This window comes from Homo sapiens, chromosome 1 (genome assembly GCF_000001405.40).
Source record: "Homo sapiens chromosome 1, GRCh38.p14 Primary Assembly".
Taxonomy (NCBI): domain Eukaryota; kingdom Metazoa; phylum Chordata; class Mammalia; order Primates; family Hominidae; genus Homo; species Homo sapiens.
The window spans coordinates 214041842-214051437 of record NC_000001.11 but is presented as its reverse complement, the minus strand read 5'-3'; positions in this window follow the sequence as shown (position 1 = coordinate 214051437).

The window sequence follows — 9596 nt, the reverse complement described above, 5'->3', positions numbered from 1 at the left end:
TTTGTTTAGGGAATTGAGATCAGATGAACAGGGCCGAGGAAGCTGTAGGCAGACAGAATTAGTGATAATTCTTTCCCACAATACTGCACTCCATTCTTCTAACATACCTCAAGTGCATGCCCTCGGCCAAAACAGATCTGGCAAGAGGAAGATTAACAATGATGACAAAAATAGTTCCTGACTTGATAAAACAAATATCAACTGGGACAAGAACAAGAACTGCCCATAAACCAACCTTGGGATCTAACATGTTCTTCATTAGGACAGGATTGCACCATCTTAAGTATGTCACCTCATGCTAACTCTGAAGTTAGACCTTAAACCACTGCCCTTGAACTTAGTCAATATTTGCAAACTGTGAAAAAAAGAGGATACAGATCAGCATGAGGGGTAAATGTAAGATATTCTGAAATAACTTTTTTTTTTTTCGTTTTTCTCTAAGCTCCTAAGTCTCTATTTGTTGATCTTTCAGAACCAACCTTTGGAGACTAGGTTACTTAGGCAGATGTTTCATGTAATATTGTGTGCATTGGGAGGGTGGGGTGGTGGTAAATTTTCATTGAATAAAACATGGCTTTGTCTGGGTCTGGGCTGCCTAATTTCCTCTCAAGATAAAGATGAGCTCATTTGAGCCTATCCGTCTCCAGATCAGTAAACACTCCGCATGGGTCAAATTCCAGTCCCAAACCCAGGGCTCCTGCACTTCGGGAGCACATCGATTTTCCCTTTCCTGAGGCTTCAGGGTGAGAGGTCAGGGCAGGTGTGGGCGTGGGTGGCCCAGATTTCCTCTGCCTTCCAGCTTTGCTTCTGTGCATGCTCTGCCCAAGGCTCAATTCCCAGAAGTGGGAGTGTTCATTCTCACTAAGCCCAAAGCACGTTTCAGCAGCAGCGTGCCTTCTTCACCATCTCCTTCCATTCTCCCATTTTGCCCTCTACTCAAACTCAGAGCGGGATTTTTGTGCCATCTGTTTTGCAAGTTAATTTCTTTTCTGATTACTTACCATGAACCCCCATCTTCCTAAATAAAGTTCTGCCTCTTTCCCCACTCTACTCCACTTTTCCCTTAACCATGGTAAGAACTGCAAACCCACGACCACACTGAGAACAGCACAATGCAGCATTACGACTTGTGTGTATTTGATGCCCTCCCTCCCATCTGTAACACACATACTTGTACACCCATTGGGAGCTTCCACCTTTTGAGAACAGGGCACATAGCTCACTCCTGTTCGTGTGTTCTGCTTGCCTCCTTTACCAGGTGCACAGTGTGGGTTGATTTGGGCTACTAAATTGAAGAAAAACAAGAAAAAAGGAATAAGGCACCAATGGTGGCATTTAAAATGCCAGTGACCACCCCGTAGGTGCACTCCTCAAGGTTAACAGTAATTTGTCCTATCCGACTTCTTCTTCCTCTACCCTCTACTAAGCACATGCTATTATACCAGGTACCTCCCACAGCACATCTCATTTATTACTCAGTTTGAGGGGTAGGTGTTATTTCATAAAAGAACAAACTATGACTCAAGAAGACTGACAAGTGAGCAAGTCATGGACTAGGCTTCAGACGCAGGTCTGTCTGACTCCATAGCCCAAGCCAGTAACTGTGCCACTGCTCCCTCCTGCCTTCTTCAGGTGGAGTCTCCAACAGCCGAGGCAAGCTGGTCAGTGCAGAGTGCCCATGGGCTAGCACAAACCAGACAAGGGGATGCATGCATCCAGGCCAGAATCTTGTTTCCTCTCTGACAGTGAAGGGTACATTCAGCCCCAAACCCTGCCCCACTGCTTCTCTGCTCTTGTCTCTTAATATGCTTCCTGCAAACAAAAGTTGTGCTTGCTTGCTAAAAAATTTCAAACACTTTGGAAATGCATAAAGTAAACATAAAAATTAACCCCTTACCTAAATGCTTCCTTGCCTATCTCCACTACTCAGAAATGACATTTATTTATTTATTTCTAAATTATTTTCTTTCATTTTAAGTTCTGAGATACTTGTGCAGTTACATAGGTAAACGTGTGCCATGGTGGTTTGCTGGACCTACCAACCCATCACCTAGGTATAAAGTCCAGCATGCATTAGCTATTTATCCTGATACTCTTCCTTCCCCAACACATCTCTGACAGGCCCCAGTGTGTGTGTTTCCCTCTCTGTGCCCATGTGTTCTCATTGTTGAACTCTCATAAGTGAGAACTTATAAGTGAGAACATGCAGTGTTTGGTTTTCTGTTCCCACATTAGTTTGCTGAGGATAATGGCTTCCAGCTCCATCCATGTCCATACAAAGGGCATGTTCTCAGTCCTTTTTATGGCCGCATAGTATTCCATGGTGTATATGTACCACATTGTCTTTATCCAGTCTGTCATTGATGGGCATTTGGGTTGATTCCACGTCTTTGCTATTGTGAATAGTGCTGCAATGAACATACATGTGCAAGTATCTTCATAATAGAATGATTTACATTCCTTTGGGACTATACCTAGTAATGGGATTGCTGGGTCAAATGGTATTTCTGGGTCCTTGAGGGATTGCCACACTGTCTTCCACAATGGTTGAACTAATTTACGTTCCCATCAACAGTGTAAAAGTGTTCTTATTTCTCCACAGCCTCATCAGCATCTGTTGTTTCTTGAAATTTAAAAATCTCCATTCTGACTGGCATGAGATGGTATCTCATTGTGGTTTTGATTTGCATATCCCTAATGATTGGTGATGTGGAGCATTTTTTTATATGTTTGTTGGCCGCATAAATGTCCTCTTTTGAGAAGTGCCTGTTCATGTCGTTTGCCCACTTTATAATGGGGTTGATTGTTTTTTTCTTGTAAATTTGTTTAAGTTCTTTGTAGATTCTGGATATTAGACCTTTTTCAGATGGATAGATTGCAAAAATTTTCTCCCATTCTATAGGTCATTTGTTTACTGTGATGACAGTTTCTTTTGCTGTACAGAAGCTCTTTAAATTAGATCCTATTTGTCAATTTTTGCTTTTGTTGCAATTACTTTCAATGTTTTTGTCATGAAATCTTTTCCCATGCCTATGTCCTGAATGGTATTGCCTAGATTTTCTTCTAGGGTGTTTATAGTCTTAGGTTTTACATTTAAGTCTTTAATCCATCTTGAGTTAATTTTTGTATAAGGTGTAAGGAAGGGGTCCAGTTTCAATCTTCTGCATATGGCTAGCCAGTTCTCCCAGCACCATTTATTAAACAGGAAATCCTTTCCCCCTTGCTTGTTTTTGTCAGATTTGTCAAAGATCAGATGATTGTAGATGTACAGTCTTATTTCTAAATTCTCTATTCTGTTCCATTGGTCTGTGTGTCTGTTTTTTGTACCAGTGCCATGCTGTTTTAGTTACTGTAGCCTTGTAGTATAGTTTGAAGTCAGGTAGTGTGATGCCTCCAGCTTTGGTCTTTTTGCTTATGATTGTCTTAGCTATATGGGCTCTTTTTTTGTTCCATATAAATTTTAAAGTAGTTTTTTCTAATTCTGTGAAAAATATCAATGGTAGTTTAATGAGAATAGCATTGACTCTATAAATTACTTTGGGCAGTATGGCCATTGCCATTTTCACAATATTGATTCTTCCTATCCATGAGCATGGAATGTTTTTCCATTTGTTTGTGTCCTCTCTGATTTCCTTGAGCAGTGGTTTGTAGTTCTCCTTGAAAATGTTCGTCACTTCCCTTGTTAACTGTATTCCTAGGTATCTTATTCTCTTTGTAGCAGTTGTGAATGGGAGTTCATTCATGATTTAGTTCTCTGCTTGTCGATTGTTGGTGTATAGGAATGCTTGTGAGTTTTGCACATTGATTCTGCATCCTGAGACTTTGCCAAAGTTGCTTATCAGCTTAAGAAGCTTTTGGGCTGAGACAATGGGGTTTTCTAGTTATAGGATCATGTAGAAATGACATTTATTATGATGTGGTGTGTTCTCACATATTGTGTGCGTGTGTGTGTGTGTGTGTGGGTGTGTGCGTGTGTGTGCTTTGTATATATACATGAAGATATATCACTTTTTTTTTTTGAGATGGAGTCTCACTCTGTCACCCAGGCTGGAGTGCAGTGGCATGATCTCAGCTCACTGCAACCTCTGTCTCCCAGGTTCAAGTGATTGTTGTTCCTCAGCCTCCTGAGTAGCTGGGATTACAGGCGTGCACCACCACACCTGGCTAATTGTTGTATTTTTAGCAGAGATGGGGTTTCACAATGTTGGCCAGGCTGGCCTTGAACTCCTGAACTCTGGTCATCCACCTGCCTTGGCCTCCCCAAAGTGCTGGGATTACAGGCATGAGCCACCATGCCCAGCTGATATATCAACTTAAAAAGCACAAACGTGGAGTTATGTTATCTAAAAATATTTCTGTATTTACTTTTCAAACTCCATAATATATTATGAATAACTTTTCACTTCACTGCATAGCTACAGCTCAATCTCAAACTTTTAGTAGATGTATAATATTCCACAAACCATGGAATCAAAATACAAATTTACACCTGAAAGCACAAATAAAGCTTTTTTTTATTTAAAGCAGGTATAATTTTTGTGTGGTTGTGGTGACATAACAGGGAAACAATTATTCTTAGGGTTAGTTCTACCCAATTTGAGTTCACCTTAAAGAGGCATAAAGTCACACAATTTATTTCAACAATTCACCTGCTGATGACATTTGGTTTGTCTACAATTTTCCATTACTACATATAATCCTGCAATGACTATTGCTGAACATGCAACATAAAATTTAGATGTATTAATGGAGGCCCACCCGCTTCAAATTCCAGTTACCTGTGACTCTTCCCCATTCAGTCATGGGCAAGCCCTGCTTCTAGAAGGGATGCATAAAGGAAATGCAGGGAACAAAGAATCAAGGTTTTGACCACTTAAATGTCTAAATAAGGTCTTAAAACTCAGTGTTGAGAAAATAGTCTTGAAAATCAAGGCTTTTAATTTGCTAGAGCATGGCTTTTTTGTGTGCATAATAAAAAGAGTGTTTTTAGTTTCAAAAGTTTTAGCACCAAAGAATCAAGGCATAAAGCTTAAGCCAGGGGTGTCCAATATTTTGGCTTCCCTGGGCCACATTGGAAGAAAAAAAATTGTCCTGGGACACACATAAAACACACTAATACTTATGATAGCTAATGAGCTGAAAAAAATTAAAATATTAAAAATAAAGAGACACATTTCATATATTATTTCTGTCAAAGAGTCCTCCTGTTGCATATAATGGCAACTCTTACAAGCTTTATCAAATTGATTGGGGTCAGCACTGCCCAACTCAAAACTTACCCTACTTATCCTTTCCTTTTAGAATGTAAACAAATAGGTTTTAATTTTAATTCAATATTTCACAAAGTAAAAATATCATGATTCCCTTTATGTAGAATGAATGGCCTATCTTTATTGGCATTACTTTGCTGGATTTGTTTTTTTTATTCTTCTTTATTTAAGTTAACTGAGGGAAGTCCTTAAAATTGCACAAGATGAATCTGGCTTTTTCCAAAAACTCAGAGTTCCAAAAAAGATTTGTTCAAGTAAGTCAGGGCCTCTGAGTCAGGCAACCTTGCACACGAAAATGGCTGAAAGAGCAAAGGCTATTTTGCCCTAGTAAAATAAAAAATTAGAAGACAGTAGCCCATAGTGATTGCCCAGTAGCAGATAGCTGACAGCCCAGAAAAGAAATATTTGCTTTCACCATTATTAGAAGTTAGAAAAAGCAAATCAATCTATCAAGAAACTTTCTCCTGCATTTCACTTAGAAGCAAGTCCAGATTCTTCTTCAAATCAGCTTGGTACAAGTAATGAGCCCTATTTGTAGTATAATATTATTTTTACTATATGTACTGCTGGACTGGATTTGATTATGTTTTGTACTTACATTAATACATATGGACTTTATAAAGAAATTGAGTTATATATAAACACTGTACATATGTGTATAAATACTGTATATATGTGTAATATGTATACTATTTATACAATATAACTTATTTTTGAATAGTTGATAGAATTCACCCATAAAACTCTGAAGGCCAGGTGCCTTTGGGGAGAGGAGAGGAGTTTTGATCTGATGTTTGTTCTGTTTTTAGAACAACTTTAAAATTTTCTTCTGTGGCCTTGATTGTCTTGAAGGTTTTTGCTTCTGGAGTAAATGTTGATACCTGTATTTTGCTTAGAAATGTATCCACTTTACTGAGATTTTTCACATACGTAACCACACTGTTGATTCTACAAATTCCTAGATGTTAAGTGAAGAAAAGACATCAATAATGCTCCATTGGTAACCTATGTGTTGTTCATGAATTTTTCTAGTTGTTCATGAATTTTTCTAGTTGTTCATGAATTTTTCTAGCAGGAGATACCTACACTCAGATGCCCAGGCTCATATTATGCTTGGACACCTGCACATCTACCTTCCTTTGTGCCAGACTTCAAGACTTGCTCAGTCTTACCGTCAGTTGCTGAGCCGTGAAGGGGAATTCAGGGAACACTTTTTTTTGTTTTCTGGTTACTAAAGATTTTTCAGTTGTGAATAATCGGAAGTATGACCATTGATTTGGGGAATTATTTCCCAACAGGTCAAGGGTAACAACAATGACAAGAAATCCATAACTTCAATTTTCATGGTCTAGAGCTACTTATACCAAGGAATTTCCAATACCAGCAAAGCACAGAGTACTATTTGCACAAGCACTGGGGAAAACCCAGTGCTTTCTACACTGGCAGATTTATTTGCAGAGACACAGGCATTTTTTCCAGGGTGGCTGCCAAACTATCTCCTGAGCCTGTCTAGCTAGCACCTGGGAGACTCAGCAGGGGGCTTTGCAAATAATACCCTCCCCTTTGCCAGGATTGAGGCAGCCTAAGTGATTCTGTTTCAGTGTGTTATGGCACCTTAATCTTTCTGAGCTGTCCCACTCTTATTCTGGAGCCTAGGCAAGCATGGCTGGCGGAAGGTGTGGCCACAGCAGCTATAGGCCTGAGGCTGAACACAGGGGCCTGGGGAAATGGCAAGAGTGGGGCAGAAGTTTTTAGTTCCTGCTGCACTTCTGTGTTCTTCAAAATTTGAATGTCCTGGGAAGTTGGAATGGGTGTGGGTGTTTAAGCCCTTAGATCACAACTTAAAACAACATGGCAAAGTAACTAAAACCACTGACTGGAAGAGAAGAAAGAGAACAGAGATTCAGTACAAACCAGGTGCCAGGCTCTGTGCTGTTTCCATGGTGCAAAAATAGTCTCTTTTTTAAAGGTTTATTATCATTTTATGTGTTATTATCTATTTTAATTTTCCTGTTCATCCTTAAAAATCTCTTACCCTACCCAATGAGAGTATTGAGTTGTGTTGTTGAGCAGAGAACTCCTTTCTTTAAATGAAGGTTTGGTAGAATTACTTGTTAATTAATACTCCCATTCATACATAGAAATCTGTTTTATCTTACTCAAAAAGATCACTGTTTTAAGCAGAGAACTCTTTATATTAAATGAATATTTTATTATACCTCAATATAAAGATGAAGCTCCTTTTGTTGAGGTCCTAATCTGGTGGCCCCTGAGATAATAACCACATTTCTCTAGCGATCTGGGGAATAAAAGCCACTGAGTTAGGTTATCTCTGAAATATCTTCAGTGATAATAATTTTTCTTTGGAACCAGAAAAACAAACCAGGCTTTAGTGGAGAAGTGTGCCTCCTCCTGTGAGTTCTTATGAATGATTTTTGGGGAGATGTAGAAGGACTCTATGATCATGGGCAGGAAGCCAGTCCTGGGGACGGAGGGGAAGGAGGCCTGGGAGACAGAAATGGCTTGACAGACCATACAGCCTTTTTGCAAGATGCAGCCAGGAGTGATACCATTCAAAAAGCCTAGCCTGATGTTTGGTGGGGAAGGCCTCCAGTCCATAATTACTTGCATTCAGGTGACATCAGACCTAATACAGAAGCAGTAAAAATGTATTCTTGTACACTGCATATCTTTTTATGAATGTACCATTGGTAAGAGAAACATATCAAGTCAGTGATATCTTAATGTTAACTTTCGTAGACGGCTTGTTGCTGTGAACAGAGGGAGGGCTGGGGCAACCCAGGAGCACCAGATGCTTGACAAGAAGCAGAGACACTTACCCAAGAGAGAACCAGTCATAAACAGAGAGAGAAGGATCTAGAGTCACACTTGGCTATCTTCAGAATTTTGCCCTTGTCACTTAAATTGCCTTCTCACGAGAAGCAAAAACATCCTAACACACCATTTTCTTGGCAGGTAGGAATCCTTGGCAGGTGAAAGTCAACATGGTGACCACACTGAATCTAGCAATCCTTTAGCTCTCATAATTATTTCAATTCTCCTGGGACACTGAAGCATTAAGTGACTTGCTTAGTTTTCTCCGGGTAGGCTGTGTAAAAAGTTTTAGAATTGAATGGATTGGAGACAGGTCTCCTAATACCCAAAGCAATACTCTCTTGATGACTTCTTTAGTTTCAAAAGCTACTATTTAGCTTTTTATCCCAATGTAAAGCCTCCCTCTACTACATGGTTATATCTTTGGTAAGGGAGTACAGCACAATTTATTTCTTCAGTAATCTTTAATAAATTTACTTAGTTATTATATCTGTTATTTTCTAAAATTGTATCTGCCATTTTCCTTTGTACACCCTTTTCTTATATTTTATGCCTTTTAAAATTCAGGAATGTCCATAGACCCCAGCATTTGGCAGTACATGACAAACATTTGATGTATTTCTATGACTTTTATTCAGGGGCATCTGTGTCTCACCTCTGCATGTATTAAATTAATTGTAAATATGTACTGATTTTTAGCCTTGCTTTTGAAGAAAAACGTTAATTTTTAAAAATTAATGGAGATAAAAATGAATAAAACCAATCTTTTCTTTATTATGAGGTTGAGAAGCTTATACATTCAACTCTAAAGTGGGCACTGGTCACACTGAGATGCATGTGGAACAGGGTTTATGATGACGGCTCAGATCAGTGTTGAAGGTGGTGCATTTTATTCTAGACTAATGACGCCAGATGATTTAGAGTCACAAAAGTAGGGCTTGAAGGTATGTTTTTAATAAACCTCCTACCTGCTGTAACCTGTTAGTGATTTGGTGGCTATGGAAATTATCCAATCTGGCATAAAGCAGATAACTGTTAAGTACAAGAAGATGGAGGAGTCACTACATTCCTGCAAATGTCTTTTCTCTTCCAAGAAGAGACAGTGGAAGGAGGGAATTTTTTTTTTTCCGATCAGGGAATAACTATTTTGGCATAGAGGGATTTAAGTATGCACTTTTGCACAATTTAGTTAGGAAGACTAGAATTTAAATATGTGGCATTGATAGAAAAAAGAGCTGAAAGTGGAAAAATGCTATCATCCTTTAACAAAGTTTTAATATTGCATTGACTCCAGGCACCCTTGTGTCAACAGGGTCAAAATATAAAGTTTTCATCATTAAGGGGAAAGCAAAAGAAGAAATCAGAGATGATGAAGACTCAGTCTGCAACAGCATGTACAGACACAAGTGAGGTACAGCTGCAGTGAATGGTGGATAATAGAGTCAATCTCAAATAGCAGGTGATTTCTGCTAGTTTCTCTTGTTCTTAATT